The sequence below is a fragment of the Homo sapiens genome, chromosome 3 (genome assembly GCF_000001405.40).
Source record: "Homo sapiens chromosome 3, GRCh38.p14 Primary Assembly".
Classification (NCBI taxonomy): Eukaryota; Metazoa; Chordata; class Mammalia; order Primates; family Hominidae; genus Homo; species Homo sapiens.
In genome coordinates, this window is record NC_000003.12 from 106,910,186 (window position 1) to 106,929,393 (window position 19,208).

General features: G+C 37.7%; 1 long non-coding RNA gene across 1 annotated transcript, besides 2 other annotated features; it reads right to left on the bottom strand.

The window, feature by feature from the left end:
- Positions 1–1,745: 1,745 nt before the first annotated feature.
- Positions 1,746–17,689, bottom strand: LOC107986021 (uncharacterized). Its single transcript, XR_002959680.2, has 4 exons — positions 17,650–17,689; positions 11,873–11,908; positions 10,781–10,875; positions 1,746–2,981 (listed from the first exon to the last, which is right to left on the bottom strand). It is a non-coding gene; the product is annotated as an uncharacterized LOC107986021 (long non-coding RNA).
- Positions 3,237–3,531: a silencer, noted in NCBI's record as "tiled region #705; K562 Repressive non-DNase unmatched - State 24:Quies". NCBI's record gives its function as "represses a minimal TATA promoter and a strong SV40 promoter by Sharpr-MPRA in K562 cells {active_cell/tissue: K562}" and the evidence as "EXISTENCE:reporter gene assay evidence [ECO:0000049][PMID:27701403]".
- Positions 12,599–13,153: an enhancer, noted in NCBI's record as "OCT4-NANOG hESC enhancer chr3:106641631-106642185 (GRCh37/hg19 assembly coordinates)". NCBI's record gives its function as "activates a minimal SCP1, AML or CMV promoter by ChIP-STARR-seq in naive H9 embryonic stem cells {active_cell/tissue: H9 hESC(naive)}" and the evidence as "EXISTENCE:reporter gene assay evidence [ECO:0000049][PMID:30033119]".
- Positions 17,690–19,208: the final 1,519 nt, after the last annotated feature.

Consider the following 19,208-nt stretch of genomic DNA (forward strand, 5'->3'; position numbering starts at 1 on the left):
TTCACAGGGTGACAGGAGAGAGAATGAGTGCCAACAGGAGAAATGCCAGATGCTTATAAAACCCTCAGATCTCATTAGAACTCACTCACTATCAGGAGAACAGCATGGGGCAAACAACCCCCATGATTCAATTAACTCCCACCTGGTCCCTCCCATGACACATGGGGATTATGGGGATAACAATTCAAGATGAGATTTGGGTAGGGACACAGCCAAACCATGTCAGGTACATAAGGAGATATATCTACAGTGTAAGGAGTGAACCAGACACCTCTGGGGTGGGTCCTTGGTCACATCCTATCAATGCACATATAATTTCATTATCAGTTGTAGTAGACAGTTCCAAGTGGCCTCAAATTTATATAATGCTGAAAAATGTGCATCTTTTTGCATTTTGCCTCAGAGTTTTATCCAGCATTGTAGGAACTTTCAAGTACTAACAACAAATGGCAGTGCTAAGGAGAAATTTAATGCACCTTAAGAGAAACCAACAAACAATGTGGAGTGGTAACCTCTGTATTAAGTACTCCAGTGTCCTATACTCCAGACGGAAAAATCTGGGAGGTAGTAGGTACACTTCTCAGAATATGCTGGAGGAATTGAGCCCAGTTGTCCATAGCAGCTACTTTGATAGAGCACCCTAACATTGCATTTTCTTTCTTAACAACCTCACTCTCCCCACTCTCTCACTTCTGATTCCTGGGTCTAACACCAAAATAAACTACCTATACTTAAATTTTTGCTTAGGTCCTGCTTTCTTGAGGAACCCAAATTAAGACAGTGAGTTTGATATCTGCACTTTCAGAGCTCTTTGAGAATGACATGGAACCTAGATTTCCTTACCCAGACCAATTATTACCAGGCATAAAAGAAAAATATATTTTGGGGCATGTGAAAATATATAAATCTTACATCTCATGAAGATTTAGTTAAAAAAATTAAAGATTAAATCGAGAAAATTGTAAATTTTCCTGAGAAAAGAGCTCAAAATCCAGAACCAACCCAGGAGTGCAAAGGTAAAAAAATTATGGATGATAATAGTATAGTACACCTAGCAAATATTTAGACAAAATTAGACAGAAGGTCAGAGGACTCCAAGAATGCTTTCAAAATGAAAGTAAGTGTCATGTAACATATACTATTATTATTATTAAGAAGTTGTGAGATATTTATAAAAGACATTTACATAAATCTTTTATACATTTATTTGATCAAAAGTATATATTTTCTTCTGTCAAAAGGAAAAATACAATAGGAAATTCTAGGGAAAGTGTTGAAACTTATACTCCAGATCTGAATTAAGTAATACATGGTACAACTTAATCTTACTTTTTAAAAACTACATACATTAAAATTGATCTCTTTGATGTACAAGTCCATGAGTATTAAAACATGTTAATACCACCACGATCCATAGTTGAGGATACAATTTCCTCCACCTACAAATCTCCATCGTGCTGCCCCTTTGTAGTTGCACCGTTTCCCCAACCCAAACCTCTGGCAAACACTCATTATTTCTTTTTTTTTTTTTATTTGAGATAGAGTCTCACTCTGTCACCCAGCCTGGAGTGTAGTGGCATGATCTCAGCTCACTGCAAGCTCCCCCTCCCAGGTTCAAGCGATTCTTCTGCCTCAGCCTCCCGAGTAGCTGGGATTACAGGCACGCACTACCATGCCCAGCTAATTTTTGTATTTTTAGTAGAGCTGGGGTTTCACCATGTTGGCCAGCTGGTCTTGAACTTCTGACCTCAGATGATCTGCCCGCCTCGGCCTCCCAAAGCGCTAGGATAACAAGAGTGAACCACTTCACCCAGCCTCACTCATTATTTCATCCTCACTACAGTTTTGCCTTTTGTAAGGCATCATATAAATATAATCAGTCATACAGTATGTAACCTTTTAAAACAAACTTCTTTAGCACAGCTTAATGCCTTAAATATTAATCCTTGTGTGTATCAATAGTTTATTACTTTTTATTGTTGAACATTATTATATGAATGTGTCATAATATATCTATCCACTCATTGAAGAAATTCAGTTTATCTCTATGTTTTGGCAATTATAAAAAGAGCTGTTATAAATATTGTACATGAGCTTTTATATGAACATGTTTTTATTTCTCTAGAATAAATACCTGAGTGGGATTGCTTGATCATATATTAAGTGCATATTTATATTGTGACATCTGCTTGGTTTGTGACGTCTGCTTGGTTTTGTGACATCTGCTTGGTTTTCTTTTCCAGTCATTCTAATATACATTATCTCACTGTGGATTTAATTTGTATTTTTTTAATGGCTAATGATGTTGATCATCTTTTCATATGCTTGTTTCCATCTGTATATGCTCTTTGGTGAAGTGATGGTTTATGTTCCAATTTTTAAAACAGGATTGGTTGTTTTATTACCTGTTGAGTTTCGAGTGGTGTTTTTATATTCTATACTTAGTCCTTTGTCAGATAAGTGATTTCCAAGTATTTTTTTCTCACTTTGTAGCTTGTCCTTAATTATGACTTGATTTTGAAAAAGCATTAACATATAAGAATCTGAATACATATGCTCTGTCTCTTGCAACATCCTCATTCTCTTTGAAATGACATAGGACTACATGCATTTTCTGTGGGTCTAGTTATCATATTTATTCCTGTCATATATTCATATAATCATAATATTATAACAACCTTTATTTATTTTCCATTTTAAAAACTTAACATATAAGCAAAGGATTTTGAATTCCCTTAGTTATTCAATAGAATGTAAATATTACAAATAGAACAATTAAAAAGTAATGGTTTGGTATTACTTTTAAGAGCCAGACTAGACACTAGTTGGGAGTACCTACTTGCAGATAGGGGTTACCTGCTTCAGGTCACCTCTCTTCTGAGAGCTGTCTGGTTGCCCAATAAAGCTTTTCTCAGCCTCGCTCACCCTCCAGGTGTCCACATAACCTCATTCTTCCTGGATGCGGGATGAGAACTCGGGACCTGCTGAACAGCGGGAGTGAAAGGAGCTGTAACACTTTCCTGGCTGACTCACCGAGCTGCGGGCAGTGACACGCTCACAGACTGTGGGAGTGAAGAGTAGTGATTCTTCTGGGGGCCCAGACCTTGGTGTTGCCTGAGCCAGAGCTGTAACACTATAGCCCTCCCACCTTCTGCCAGCAGTGGGTGGCTGCCCCACACAACAGGAAGCAGAGGCCGGGCCAGGCCAGTCCAGGAGATGCGGGCTGGAGCGGGGCCCCAGGACTGTGAAAGAGCTGTAAAAAACAGACTGAAACACAGCCCTCTGAAACACACCCTCCCTCTCACTGCGCTGCGGGCGATGAGAAGGGGAGAAGAGCTGCGGCCCTTCTGTGAGCCCATACCTCAGGGCCCCTACCTTGAAATATTTCTGCTCTCAAGGCCCTAGCACTCTGGGCCTGTGATGGGGGTGGCAGCCTTAAAGATCTCCAAAATTCCTTCAGGGTCATTCTTCCACTGTCTTGATGAATGGCATCCGGGTTCCTTTTATCCATACTAATTTCCATATCACTTGGCCACATTCTTGCTATTCTCCCCAAAACAACCCTTTTCATTCTTTACATGGAAACATTTAGAATTTCCAAATCGTTAATTTCTGTTCCCTTTTTGATTATACATTCCATCTTTAATTTATTTCTCTCTTCTGCATTTTACTTTAAGACATTAATAGAAGCCACGCAGCAACCTGAACACTTTACACAGACATTCCTCCACAAATATCCAAGTTCACTGCTCTTAAATTCTGCCTTCCACAAAGCCCTAGGATACTGAGGCAACGCAGCCAAGTTCTTTGCAACTTTGTAACAAGGTTGTCCTTTCCTCTAGTTTTCAATATAGTATTTGTAATTTCCATCTAAGACCATCTCAGAATCTTTCCCTATTTCTACCAGCATTCTGATCATGACCGCTTACATACACACTAAGAAGACTGAGGGTCTCACTGCAGCGCTCGTCTTCTGAGGCTAATCATCTCCTAAAGGCTCCACCTCTTAACATTGTTGCACTGGGGATTAAGACTTAGCATGAATTTCAGAGGGAACACACACATTCAAACCATAGCAATGATGGTAACTATCTTACCATTGAACCAAGTATTTGCTATTTTCATTTGAACTAACAGTTGGAGGGTAAATTTGTGAAGTGATGATGAAGGGTTAGGGGAGCAGTGGGGAAGAAAAAGGACACACTATTCAAGAGCAGGTGGCACCAACACTTATAATCCTGAATATATGCATTTGCAAAACATGGCATTTTAGGGCCACTGTGAAACATCTGCCTGCAGCCATTTTGTTGTATTTAGTGAAAATCTGACTTCAAATGAAGAGCCTCACTACAGGGCTACTTTATTCATTTCTCTAGTACAAGAATTTTGGCAGTTGGCAAAGTATAATCAAATTATCATGGGAAGAAACACAAAACTCCCAAATCTACTAAGGGTTCTAGAAAGCTGTGCAGTTTGAGAAGACTTCTGACCACTATCATCTATCATTATATTATCTCATGGCAATAAATGGATCACTGGCCTAAACATTGGCAAAATGCCTAAAATATGTGAAACAAGAGAGAGAAGAGATAGGAGAATACACTTTTGGTAACTAGAAACCCTGAATTTTTTGTTGCTATTTTATTCTCCATGGGGAGGAAGTTGACTTAGTTATATTGGTTAAGATGTATTTAATTTTCAGCTATTTTCAAGCGTTTTCATTTGTTTTTAAATGTCCATAAATAACAAAATGTTATACATACTAGTACAGACTCATTCTAGTATTTTCAAACAGTTTCAAAGTTCAAGTGTTAACTGTTTTGTATTTTTCTTAATATAATTTTAGCAGATCTTTGCCCCCAAGCTTTTGTCAGCTAGCTGTGATAATGAATTGCTTTACACTTTAAAACTGGCAAACCTGCTATTAGCATTTCAAAAACAGATTATAGTAGGTTTTAGATTATGTTTGCTTTTGTTTTAAAACTGCTGTATGAATGATTATAGTTAAAGACAATGACTCCCAACTAGAGAAAAGAAAAAAACCTCACATAAAGGAAAGATGTATTATGAACTAGCAGTGTTGACTTCAGTTATTTTTATCTTGCTTAAATACATAAAAACATACAACAGAATAAATCCCTCATGTGCCTAGTTCTCTCCCAATCATAAAGCCAAGCATTTATAGCAAATACTAAAAAATTTAAGAAAATAAAAATTCAGAGTAACAGCATTCAATTAATGTGATGGATGATATTTTGCTAAACTAAATTAAAACTCTCAATATAAACACGGTACTGAATGCTACAGTGTAAGTTGGTGGAGGTTCAGCAAACTAATGGTGATGTGATGGCAGGACCACCTCACCACTTTTTTCTATTTAAGTGATCTTTTCCTTTGTGATAGCATCTGGCCTTTCCCTTGGTGCACATGTTGCATTTGCATTTTAAATCAGCCTCTGTTTTCCTCTTCTCAATCCACTATAAATGGTACATTACTTTCCCTCAATGCTCTTTCTTACTCTCAGATCCCAATATATTATATTCCTTAATAAATTGAAGTCTTAATCTATGAAAACATTTTCAATAGAAATTTATACCTATACATTTGTCTGGTAATGTTAAAAAGTCCAACATGAAAATTGTGTTAGAAAAGAAATGATTTTATCTTTTTGATATTAGGATCAAATGGTAGATATCCTTATAATAAAAATTCAAATATAAATATTGTAACAGATAGTAATCATTTTAATATTAGAAAATGTCAAGGTAATTGCTATTGCTAAGACATGTTTGCCAGTACATTAAAAGCTAAATGCTGTCAATTGTGTCAATTGCTTATTTCAAATAGAATAAAAAAACTAACACTAAATTAATGACTATATAGGATGTGTGGATCATCTAACATTTCCTGACAACACATATGTGAAATCTGATTTGAAAAACGCTAGATTAAACCAAATACCTTTTGGGGAAAAAATGTAGTCCATGTATTACCTGGGGACATGCCAACAGTTTGAAAAAATACTACTTATAGTTTGTATTTAGTATAATATATCAGCTCCAAACAGGTTCTAAGTGCCATTTCAAACTCTTATTCTACTTCAGGAACTCTAAGTCTGAAAAGAACTTTCCCACATATGCAGAGTGACTATGTTGGAGCTTAGTACAATACATTTAAACTTATTCTGCAAGGGAGTTAAACACTGTCTTTGATGTTTTGTTGACACATGATCTCACAAAGGAAATTTTAAAACCAGTATAAGCTTAATATAATAGAACAAATATGTGTGAAGTATACAAAATTAGAGTTTTAGAAGAGTTATGTGTACATTTTGTCTCCACCATTTACTTGCTATGCAATCTTAGGCCAACACAGAAGGTAATGATAATTAAATGAGTAAAGTAATATGCAGTATAAGGGATACTTTTTATATTCAGTTGTAAAACAATTTTAATTATTTCTTTTGATGATACACAATGGTGATATGATAATGTTATTTATAAGTTTTCAATTTAGGAAACTACAGCATGTGTTTTTTAGGAATGACATATCATCCATAGAGGACAAAAGAAGCCTTCTTCTGTCTTTACTGATTTCTATTTGGTTCCTTATCATATAGAATAATAGCATTTTGTACATTCTTAAAAAGAAAGATTAGCTTGTATTCACAATATTTACCTCCAGACTCAGTAAGCATTTGTTGAAAATCTTCTATGATTTATTCATTGTGATTAGTAATAACAACTACACAAAGAGGTTGAAAAGACCCAGTTATCATGGACCTTGCAGTTTAATAGGAAGACATACATAAATGTCCATCTAACCAGGCAGCATCTGATAGACATAATAAAGTAGATAAAATATTCTATAGAAGAAAAGAAAAGGGAGATAATTTACAACTTTGGAATTCTTGGTAGCATCCATGCAAGATGTCTGTACCAAGCATTTAGTCTCTATGTTGACAGAAGTTACTTTCAATTTGTGGGGATGTAAACACATTGTAAAATGTATTTCATTTGGAAGAAATCAGAAGCCCAAGAAATTGAAAGGAGTGATTTTATGTTTAGAGAACAATAAATCATTTCATATGGCATGATTTTTGTCTTCAAAAGTGTTTTGTGAAAGATAATGGTTGAAAATAGTCTAGGGCCAAATCAAGTAAGAATTTGAATATTAATCTAAGAAAGTTATATTATATGTAATATATAATATATAATACATTAGACTGTAGATTTTTAAAGAAAGGAAAGCCATGATCAAACATAGGGGTGGGACATATACAAAGATGAGAAAGACCAACAAGAAACATTGCAGGGTCTGAGTTTCTGCTGTTCTGAGAATGATAGAAAAAAAAAAATAGACAAAAACAGAATAAGTAGCAAGAATCTATAGAATTTCCTGATTAATGGAATACAGGGTACAGAAAGGAAAATTTATTATGTAATTTTGAAGTCTGAACCTTAGGAAATGGTGGTAGTGTTACAAAGAGAGCAAAAAAAAAAAAAAAAGATAATGGCAATGGAAAACAGAAATTAGAAATTAGGGGAAATGATGAGCAAATGAGCACTGAGAGGCAGAAATAAAATTTGGTATTCATGAGATCATTGAGAAAATTTACAAGAACTGAGGTGAGAGCAGGAATTCAGAATGTAAAGAGTTTAAGAATGAAAGGAGACTATCATTTTCAGCTTAATTCATATTAGACAACATCAAAAACCTTCCCCATACAAAAATGTGAATATGGTGAATACATTTTAACAATCTTTTCCAATGTACATTTGTCCCTGCCAGAAAATAAAGGAAACTTTAAAGCCAAAAATGAAAAAGATGTTGAAAACCACTGTAAAAAATGGGCATTTACTTGTAGCAAACTTAGGTCATTTATTATTCTGTGCTACTTATTGCCTTGCTTTCTAATAATTACAAAGAGGACAAGACATTTTGCCTTGAATCCACAAAGTTAACATTCCTAATTTAGACTGTAGCATAAAACACAAAAGGCTACATTCTCAGTAGTTAGGTTGATTAAAATAAAGGAAAATAATAAGGAAATATATTTGGATTGGTCCACACTCTGATTGTGTAGTGTCTTAGTCATTCGGGCTTCTATAACACAATACCATAGACTGGATGGCTTATATATTGATTTATTTGTCTATTTTTCCACCAGTACCACTCTTTCTTGATTACTGTAGCTTGATAATAAGTCTTGAAGTAAAGTTGTGTCAGCCTTCCAACTTTCTCCTTCTCCTTCAACACTGTGTTGGCTAATTTGGGTCTTTTACCTTTCTATATAAATTTTAAAACCAGTTTTTCAATCCACACAATAATTTGCTGGGATTTTTACGGGGACTGCGCTGAATCTATAAGTCAAGCTGGGAAGAACTGACATCTTGACAATATAGAGTCATGAAAATGGAATGAAAGGCAAGGACATACAACATTATCAATATTCTCACAGAAAAGGGTAGTGGTCCAATCTACCATAGATAAAATCTCCTGTGGAAGTGAAATAGATGCACTACTCTATAACAAATTTTATGTGGTAAGAAAAACCTAGATAATAAAACCCAGCATGGATACCAACACAAGGTTAAAGTGTAGTGCAATGTCTTACATGAAGACAAATGCAGGCATTCTAAATAAAATACTATCAAGTCAAATTCATGCAGCACAGAAATGCAAGATGGTTCATATCTAAGAACATAAATGTCTCTCCAATTATTTAGTTCTTCTTTTATTTTGTTCATCAGAGTGTTGTAACTTTCCTCATATAGATCTTGTACATACTTTGTTAAATTTATACCTAAAAATTTCATTTTGGGGCTGCTAATGTAAGTGGTATTGTGTTTTAATTTCAAATTCCAGTTGTTCATTTCTTATATACAGGAAATCAACTGAGTTTTATATATTAATCTCATGTCTTGTAACTTTAGTATAATTGCTTATTAGGCCTAGGAGTTTTTCTCCTTCCCAATCAGTATATCTTTTATTTTGGTTTCCTTTCATATTGTATTAGCGAGCATTTTCAGTATGCTGTTGAAAAATACTGCTTAAACGGGACATTCTTGCCTTGTTCTTGGTTTTAGTGGGGAAATTTCTAGTTTCTTACTGTTGAGTATGATGTTAGTTCTAATATGCAGATATTCATTATCAAGTTAAGGAAGTTCCCTTCTATTCCTAGTTTACTGAGAGTTTTTAATCATTAACGGGTATTGGATTTTGTCAAATGTTTCTTCTGCATCAATTGATACAATCGTATGATTTTTTTTTCTCCTTTGGCCTTTTGATATGATGGATTATATGACTTGATATTTCTAAAGAAATGGAAGAAACTGGAAAGCAAGTGAATGTGTGAAAGAAGCCAATCTGAAAAGTCTATATACTGTATTCTAAATATATGATATTCTGGAAAAGGAAAAACTATGGAGACATTAAAAAAGATCAGTAGGTTGACAGGAGTTACAGAGGAAGCAGGGTTGAATAGGTGGAGAACAGAAAAATTTTTTAATGCAATGAAACTGCTCTCTATGATATTATAATGGTGGATACATGTCATTGTTCATTTGTGCAAACATACATAATGTACAACATCAAGAGTCAATATTAACTATGGACTTTGGGTGATAATGATGTGTCAACGTAGGTTCAATGGCTGTATCAAATGTACCACTTTGGTGGGGGACTTTGTTAATGGTGGAGGGAGGCTATTCATGCATGTATAGGGGAAAGGGGTAAATGATAAAGCTTTCCTCCTTCTTTTCAATTTTTCTGTGAACTGAAAACTGTTCTAAAACGATAAAGTTTAAAAAAAGAATAATCACAAAGAAAGAAAAAGAAAAATAATAAATATGAGTAGATAATGAAATTAAATAAATAATATGAAATAAAGAGTTGGCTTTTTGAAAAGACTAATAAAGGCCGGGCGTGGTGGCTCAAGCCTGTAATCCCAGCACTTTGGGAGGCTGAGGTGGGCAGATCACCTGAGGTCAGCAGTTTGAGACCAGCCCGGCCAACATGGTAAAACCCTGTCTCTACTGAAAATACAAAAATTAGCCAAGTGTGATGGCATGTGCCTGTAGTCCCAGCTACTCGGGAGGCTGAGGCAGGGGAATCACTTCAACCTGGGAGGTGAAGGTTGCAGTGAGCCGAGATTGTACCATTGCACTCCAGCTTGGGCGACAGAGAGAGACTCCATCTCAAAAAAAAAAAACAAAAAACAAAAAACAAACAAACAAAAAAAAAAATAAAAAAACTAAGCATAGCAAGATTAATAAAGAACAAACCAAAGGAAGAAATAATCATTTGAAATTTTAAACTAGGGAGAATATGTAAAGGCAGCAGAAATTTAAAAATGAGTAGAATTTTATATCAACTTTAGGACAAAGATATAAACAAAATGGAGAGTTTTCTAGACAACTATAACTTAATTTATTCAAAGTGGTTCAGAAATAAATTTTTAAGACCCACATAGACCTACAATTATTAAACTAATTAATATCTTTTTAAAAATCTCATTTAAAAGAGAAAAATAATTTTGTAGGTGATTTCTATCAGACATTAAAGAAAAATGTAATTTTAATTTTTAATGATGTGTCAGTTCATTTATGCTATAGTTGCAAAAAATCTCACGTGTGTCAGTGATCTGCAACAACAAAGATTTATTTCTCATATAAATTGTGTATCCAATCCCAACGCTAATGCACGAGGAATACTCTCAGGGACAGAGAGAGTGTAAGTCAAATAATAACAGGTAGGGACACATAATCAATATACTCACAAGGAAAAGTGGTAGTCCAATCTACCAGATGAACTCTTCCATGGAAGAGAAATAGATGGACTACTCTATAACATATTTTATGCGGTGAGAAAAACCTAGAAAGAAAATACCAACATGAACACGGACGCAAGGTTAAGTTGTAGTGCAATATCCTTCAAGAAGACACATGCAGACATTCTAAATAAAATATTAACAAGTCAAATGCATGCAGTACAGAAATTCAGAATGGTTTATCATGACAAAATATATTAATATAATCAACAAAACTAATAGATAAAAAGAAAAAAGTGTATCTCAGTAACAGAAAAAGACTTTCTTAAAATTCACTGCTCACTTATGATTAAAAACTCTAGGAATCTAGGAATAGAAAGTTCTTGAACCAGATATACCAAAAGAATAAAGAAACATTACACTTAATAATGAAATATTAGGTATAATGTCTTTAAAATCAGAAACAAAACAAAGGTACTTATCAGTCTTTTTTTAAATTGTTTTATGGATCTAGCCAGCAAGCACAGCACGAAATAAATAATAGGAAATTTCTAAAGCAAGAAACAAATCTGGCATTATTTGCCAGAATATGATGCTCTACATAACAAAATCAAGAGACTTAACAATTATTATAACTAATAATTTTAGCAAGATTGCTTTATAACAGACCAACAAACAAAATTAGTTTAATGTCAATACTTCAGCAACAAACTGGTCCATAAAATAAATTTTTAAAGTATTTAATTTAGAATAACTTCCAAAAGTAAAAATTATCTTGAAATAAATTTTAAAAAATGGGTGTCATAATGATGCACAGCATTTAAAATATTTTATTGAAAGAAATTAAAGATGTACATAAGTAGAGATAATTTCAAAGACATGGAAATTCAATATTGTGAAGATGGCAGTTTCCTCAAAATTAATCTATGCATTCAACATAACTCAGATGATGTTTCACCAAAGTTTTGTTTTGTTTTCATTTTTTATAGTGTAGCAAGCTCATTATAAAATTAGCATGGAAAACAAATTACTAAGAGTCATAATGACAGTTTTAGAGAACATGGTAAATTACATGGGTATTGAGTAAGCATGTAACAGTACCTGCCACATGTGTTTGCCAGATTAGATGAAGGATTTCTACAAATCAATAAAGAAAAATAAAAATTAATCTAGTATAAAATGTCAAAAGATATGAACAGGCAGTAGATAAAAAAGGTAAATAAACTGGTAAATATTAAATGTGAATAGATGCTCAATCTCAGTAGCAAAGAGGGATGTGCAAATGAAAACTAACTTTAGATATTACTTCAAATCTCTGAAAATAGTGTTTTGATAAGAATAATAAATAAGATTTTTTTTATTCCACTGGGGAAGGCAACTACTAAGAGCAATTAGCAATATCTAGCAAATCTGATGAGTTTATTATACCTGCTACTCAGAAAGCACGTTATAGGTATATACAGCAAAGAAATGATCATACACTTTCATAAGGAGACATTTTTAAAATAGCAACAATAGAAAAATATATTAACAACTTAAATGTTTATCAAAAGAACAGGTAAATAAAATTTGACATTATCATATATCAAATGTTAAATGACAGTGAAAATGAATTCTTAGCAACTGAAAATTCATTATGGATAAATCACAAATATGTTAGGCAAAGACCTATATACTCAGTGATTTCATTTATATAGAAATGGAAACATTCAAAATGAGTCTATATACTACATAGGAATACATACACATTTAGCAAAAATGTAAAGAAATAAATGAGATTGATAAATAATAAAATTGTATTAATAGTTTCTTTCATGCGCGTCCCTGTGAAGAGACCACCAAACAGGATTTGTGTGAGCAATAAAGCTTTTAATCACCTGGGTGCAGGCAGGCTGAGTCCAAAAAGAGTCAGTGAAGGGAGATAGGGGTGGGGCTGTTTTATAGGATTTGGGTAGGTAAAGGAAAAAGGGGGGTTGTTCTCTGGCGGGCAGGAGTGGGGGTCACAAGGTGCTCAGTAGGGGAGCTTTTGAGCCAGGATGAGCCAGGAGAAGGAATTTCACAAGATAATGTCATCAGTTAAGGCAGGAACAGGCCATTTTCACTTCCTTTGTGGTAGAATGTCATCAGTTAAGGCAGGAACCGGCCATCTGGATGTGTATGTGCAGGTCACAGGGGATATGATGGCTTAGCTTGGGCTCAGAGGCCTGACATTCCTGTCTTCTTATATTAATAAGAAAAGTAAAATGAAATAGTGGTAAAGCGTTGGGATGGTGAAAATTTTTGGGGGGTGGTATGGAGAGATAATGGGCAATGTTTCTCAGGGCTGCTTCGAGTGGGATTAGGGGCGGCGTGGGAACCTAGAGTGGGAGAGATTAAGCTGAAGGAAGATTTTGTGGTAAGGGGTGATATTGTGGGGTTGTTAGAAGGAATATTTGTCATTTAGAATTATTGGTGATGGCCTGGATACGGTTTTGTATGAATTGAAAAACGGAATAAGAGAAGGAGAAAAACAGGTATTAAAGGTCTAAGAATTGGGAGGACCTAGGACATTTAGAGAGTGCCTAAGGAGGTTCAGCATAGCTTTGCCAGCAAAGATTATTTATTTACTTTAAGAGTTAAGAGTGGCGGTTTGGGGATAGCACCAGGAGATATCAGCTGTGATCGCTTGGAGAAACAGTGTAAACTGACAGTGTAAACAAGAGCAGGGCATGTATGAGTAGTTGAGAACGGTGAATAGGAGTATGACTAGACAGAAGATAGTAGGGATGACAAGTTTTTTGGGGCAGAGTCCAAGTTGGTCTGGTGTCTGGAATGAGACCGGGGCCTAATAAAAAGGAGTGTCTATACAGGAGCTCAAATGGGCTGTACCTTGTAGCATTCTGAGGACAGGCCTGAATTCTGAGAAGGGAAAGTGGTAAAAGTATTGTCCTGTCCTTTTTAAGTTGGTGGCTGAGCTTGGTGAGGTGTGTTTTTAAAAGACCATTAGTCTGTTCTACCTTTCCTGAAGACTGATGACTGTAAGGGATATAAAGGTTTCATTGAATACTAAGAGACTGAAAAAATTCTTGGCTGATTTGACTAATAAAGCCCGGTCTGCTATCGGACTGTATAGAGGTGGGAAGGCCAAACCAAGGAATTACGTCTGACAGAGGGAAGAAATGGCCGTGGTGGCCTTCTTAGACCCTGTGGGAAAGGCCTCTACCTATCCAATGAAAGTGTCTACCTAGACCAAGAGGTATTTTAGTTTCCTGACTCGGGGCATGTCGAGTAAAGCTAATTTGCCAGTCCTGGGCAGGGGCAAATCCCTGAGCTTGATGTGTAGGAAGGGAGGGGGCCGAATGATCCCTGAGAAGTAGTAGAATAGCAGATGGAACACTGAGAAGTTATTTCTTTGAGGATAGATTTCCACGATGGAAAGGAAATGAGAGGTTCTAAGAGGCAGGCTAGTGGCTTGTACTATAGCATAGCCTGCCTTTGCTGGTGTGTGCCGATTAGGCCTGGTGGAACTGCCATCAATAAACTAAGTGTGATCAGGGTGAGGAACAGGGAAGAAGGAAATGTGGGGAAATGAGGTGAACGTCAGGTGGCTCAGAGAGATGCAGTCATGAGGTTCAGGTGCGGTATCAGGAATAATGTGGGAGGCCAGATTGAAGTCCGGGCCAGGAACAATGGTAATTGTGGGAGACTCAACAAAGAGTGAGTATAGCTGAAGGAGCTGGGGAGAAGAAAATATATGCATCAGGTGGGAGGAAGAAAATAGATTTTGGAAGTTATGAGAACTGTAGAGAGTGAGTTGAGCATACTTTGTGATTTTTAGGGCCTCTAACAGTATTAAAGCAGTGGCAGCCACTGCACACAGACATGAGGGCTAGGCTAAAACAGTAAGGTCAAGTTGTTTGGACAGAAAGGCTACAGGGTGCGGTCCTGGCTCTTGTGTAAGAATTCTGACTGCACTAACCATGCCTAGGAAGGAAAGGAGTTGTTGTTTTGTAGAAGGGGTTGGGGTTTGGGAGATTAGCCGGACATGATCAGCAGGGAGAGCACATGTGTTGTTATGAGAATTACGCCAAGATAGGTAACAGAGGAGGAAGAAATTTGGTCTTGACTGAAGTAATGGGGGCTGTCTGTGAAGACTTGCGGCAGTACAGCCCAGGTAACTTGCTGAGCCTGATGGGTGTCAGGGTCAGTCCAAGTGAAAGCGAAGAGAGGCTGGGATGAAGGGTGCAAAGGAATAGTAAGGAAAGCATGTTTGAGATCTAGAACAGAATAATGGGTTGTGGAGGGAGGTATTGAGGATAGGAAAGTATACGGGTTTGGCACCACAGGGTGGATAGGCAAAACAATTTGGTTGATAAGGCATAGATCCTGAACTAACTTGTAAGGCTTGTCTGGTTTTAGGACAGGTAAAATGGGGGAATTGTAAGGAGAGTTTATAGGCTTTAAAAGGCCATGCTGTAGCAGGCGAGTGATAACAGGCTTTAATCTTTTTAAAGCGTGCTGCGGGATGGGATATTGGCATTCAGTGGGGTAAGGGTGATTAGGTTTTAATGAGATGGTAAGGGGTGCATGATCGGTCACCAAGGAGGGAGTAGAGGTATCTTATACTTGTGGGTTAAGGTGGGGGGATACAAGAGGAGGATGCAAAGGAGGCTTTGGATTGGGAAAAAGGGTGGCAATGAGATGTAGCTGTAGTCCAGGAATAGTCAGGGAAGCAGATAATTTAGTTGAAGTGACCCAGCCTAATAAGGGAACTGGGCAGGTGGGGATAATTATAAAGGAGTGCTTAAAAGAGTATTGTCTAAGTTGGCACCAGAGTTGGGGAGTTTTAAGAGGTTTAGAAGCCTGGCCGTCAATACTCACAACAGTTATGGAGGCAAGGGAAACAGGCCCTTGAAAAGAAGATAATGTGGAGTGGGTAGCCTCCATATTGATTAAGAAGGGGACGGACTTACCTTCCACTGTGAGAGTTACCTGAAGCTCGGCATCTGTGATGGTCTAGGGGGCTTCCGAGGCAATCAGGCAGCGTCAGTCTTCAGCCACTAAGCCGAGAAGATCTTGGAAGGAGTCAGTCAGAGAGCCTTGGGCCAGAGTTCCAGGGCCTCTGGGAGTGGCTGCCAGGTGAGTTGAACAGTCCGATTTCCAGTGGGATCCCGCACAGATGGGACATGGCTTAGGAGGAATCCTGGGCGGCACGCATTCCTTGGCTCGATGGCCAGATTTTTGGCACTTGTAGCAAGCTCCTGGGGGAGGAGGTTCTGGAGGAACGCCTGGCCGCTGCAGTTCAGGCGTTTAGAAGTTCTTGTGTGCTGGAGATATGGCTGGGATTTGTCTCACAGTGGAGGCAAGGAATTGCAACTTTTTTCTATTATTGTACACCTTGAAGGCAAGGTTAATTAAGTCCTGTTGTGGAGTTTGAGGGCTGGAATTTAATTTTTGGAGTTTTATTTAATGTCGGGAGCAGATTGGGTAATAAAATGTATATTGAGAATAAGACAGCCTTTTAACCTCTTGGGGTCTAGGGCTCTAAAGCATCTCAGGGTTGCTGCCAAACGGGCCATGAACTGGGCTAGATTTTTATATTTGATGAAAAAGAGCCTAAATGCTATCTGATTTGGGATAAAGAAAAAGGAGCATTAACCTTGACTATGCCTTTAGCTCCAGCCACCTTTTTAAGAGGAAATTGCTGGGCAGGTTGGGGAAGGCTAGTCGCGGAACGAAACTGTAAGCTGGACCGGGTGTGAGAAGGGGAGGTGATAAAAGGATTATAGGGTGGAGGAGCAGAGGCTGAGGAAGAACTGGGACTTAGCTCGGCCTGGCGAGGAGGGGAGAGGTCAGATAGGTCTGTAGAAAAGGAAGATTAGAAAGACTCAGGGAAGCTTGGGGTTGGGACTGAGGGGACAGGAGGGAGGGAAAGAAGGAAGATTTGGGACGAGTTGCATTGGGAACAGAGACTAGGAAGGGCCTAATGTGTAAAAGAATGCCTGGACGTCAGGCACCTCAGACCATTTGCCCATTTTACGACAAGAATTATTTAGATCTTGTAGGATGGAAAAATTGAAAGTGCCATTTTCTGGCTATTTGGAACTACTGTTGAGTTTGTATTGGGGTCAAGCGGCATTTCAGAAGAAAATAAGACACTTCTTAGATTTTAGGTCAGGTGAGAGTTGAAGAGGTTTTAAGTTCTTAAGAACACAGGCTAAGGGAGAAGAAGGAGGAATGGAAGGTGGAAGGTTGCCTATAGTGAAGGATGCAAGTTTAAAGAGAAGGGTAGAGACACGGAGGGAAGGGGTTTGGGGGTTCTTACCCTCCAGAAAAGTGAGAAAGGGGTTGGGGCACAGAGATAAGAGATCGGGGCATGGAAATAAGGGATCGGGGCACAGAGATAAGAGGTTGGGGCATGGAAATAAGGGATTGGGGGTTCTTGCCCCCTAGAAAAGCGGGACTTGCCACTAAGGGTGAAGGAGAAGGGGTTGAGGGGTTCTTGCCCCTCCCTCAGAAAAGCAGAGAAGGGGTAGAGACACAGAGAGAAGGGGTTGGGGTACTTGCCCTTCCTCCAGAAAAGCGGGACTTGCCGCTAAGGATGAAGGACCAAGGCAGGTGTCCTTGCATGGTCTGACACCTCTGAAATGTGGGTGAATAATCAGAGAGGCATCCTTGCAATGATTAAACACCAAGGAAAGGCTGCCTTCCCAGTCTGCGACCAGCGCCAGAGTTTTGGGTCCACAGATAAAACGTGTCTCCTTTGTCTCTACTAGAAAATGAAGGGAATTGAAATTAAGAGAAGGGAGAGATTGAAGTGTGGTGCCAAGATTGGAAGGAGAAAGAGGTTGAGGGATAGTGAGGGAGGTTGGAGAAGAGAGTGAAAAGAGGCTGCTTACCGGATTTGAAATTGGTGAGATGTTTCTTGGGCTGGTTGGTCTGAGGACCTTAGGTCGTAGGTGGATCTTTCTCATGGAGCAAAGAGCAGGAGGACAGGGGATTGATCTCCTAAGGGAGGTCCGCCGATCCGAGTCACGGCACCAAATTTCATGCGCGTCCCTGTGAAGAGACCACCAAACAGGATTTGTGTGAGCAATAAAGCTTTTAATCACCTGGGTGCAGGCGGGCTGAGTCCAAAAAGAGAATCAGCAAAGTGAGATAGGGGTGGGGCTGTTTTATAGGATTTGGGTAGGAAAAGGAAAAAGGGGGGTTGTTCTCTGGCAGGCAGGAGTAGGGGTCACAAGGTGCTCAGTAGGGGAGCTTTTGAGCCAGGAGAGGGAATTTCACAAGATAATGTCATCAGTTAAGGCAGGAACAGGCCATTTTCACTTCTTTTGTGGTGGAATGTCATCAGTTAAAGCAGGAACCGGCCATCTGGATGTGAATGTGCAGGTCACAGGGGATATGATGGCTTAGCTTGGGCTCAGAGGCCTGACAGTTTCCTCTACAGGAAAAATTTGATTATTTTACTTCTTAAATAGTGGGAATATGCATATTCTATTTATCTGTCTATCCTTTATGTAATTCTGCATGTCTGCAATGTTTCATAATGATTTAAATAATAAATGGAAATTTGGTAAGTATCTTTACATGAAGTTCTAAGTGAAAAAGAAAGTGAGAACAAAATTTGTGGAGCAGTGAAATCAATGGATTACTTGACCTCAAAACCAGTTTCACTCTCACCTCTGCCTCTGCCTCTGACTCTGACTAGCCTGTTTTGAAAACTTGATAACATTTTTCACCTCTTCAGGCATGTTTGAAAGGAGAGCAAGATCCAAGTATAGGCAAAGACTTTAACTTTTGATATAAGAAAATATTCTTCTAAGTTAGGAAAAAAACGACATAATTTTGATGAATATAGTTTGAACTGCCCAGCATAATATTTTAACTTTCTGACTAGAAGACACAATGAGACTATGCCATAAATAAATGGTTGTGTTTAAGTGTTATTTTCATTATGCTACAGTGAACTTTGTGTGTGATTATTCTTTCTCATTTTTTAGGCCTGCACTATGTACTGCTAAGTCAATTTGTGGATTTAAGTAGCAGGTCAATTCTATCAAATGCTGCTGGGTCACTGAATAAATTGAGGACAATGGCAACAGGAAAGCTACCTCTGACCTTGACAAAGCAATTTCAATGGAGTAGGTAGGTGAATTAGGAAGCAAAGCTAAAGAAGCATTGAAAAGTAAAAGGAAAGTGAATGAAAAGAGATGATATGTGGAAGCAGTTTAGGGATGAAGAAGAAGAAAATTTAAGCTGGTAGCTGGAGAGCAATGAGGGATTCAGGGACGTTTTCTTGTTTTGTATTTAACGGAAATAGAAGAGGATGCTTTTATGCTGATTCAGTAGAAAGAGAAAAGTTGATGATGTGGATGTTCTACAACTGCTTCAGATTCAACACTTCCAGTATTCAATTACTCATCATCCCACTTCTCTCCCCTCCCTTCAATCTGTC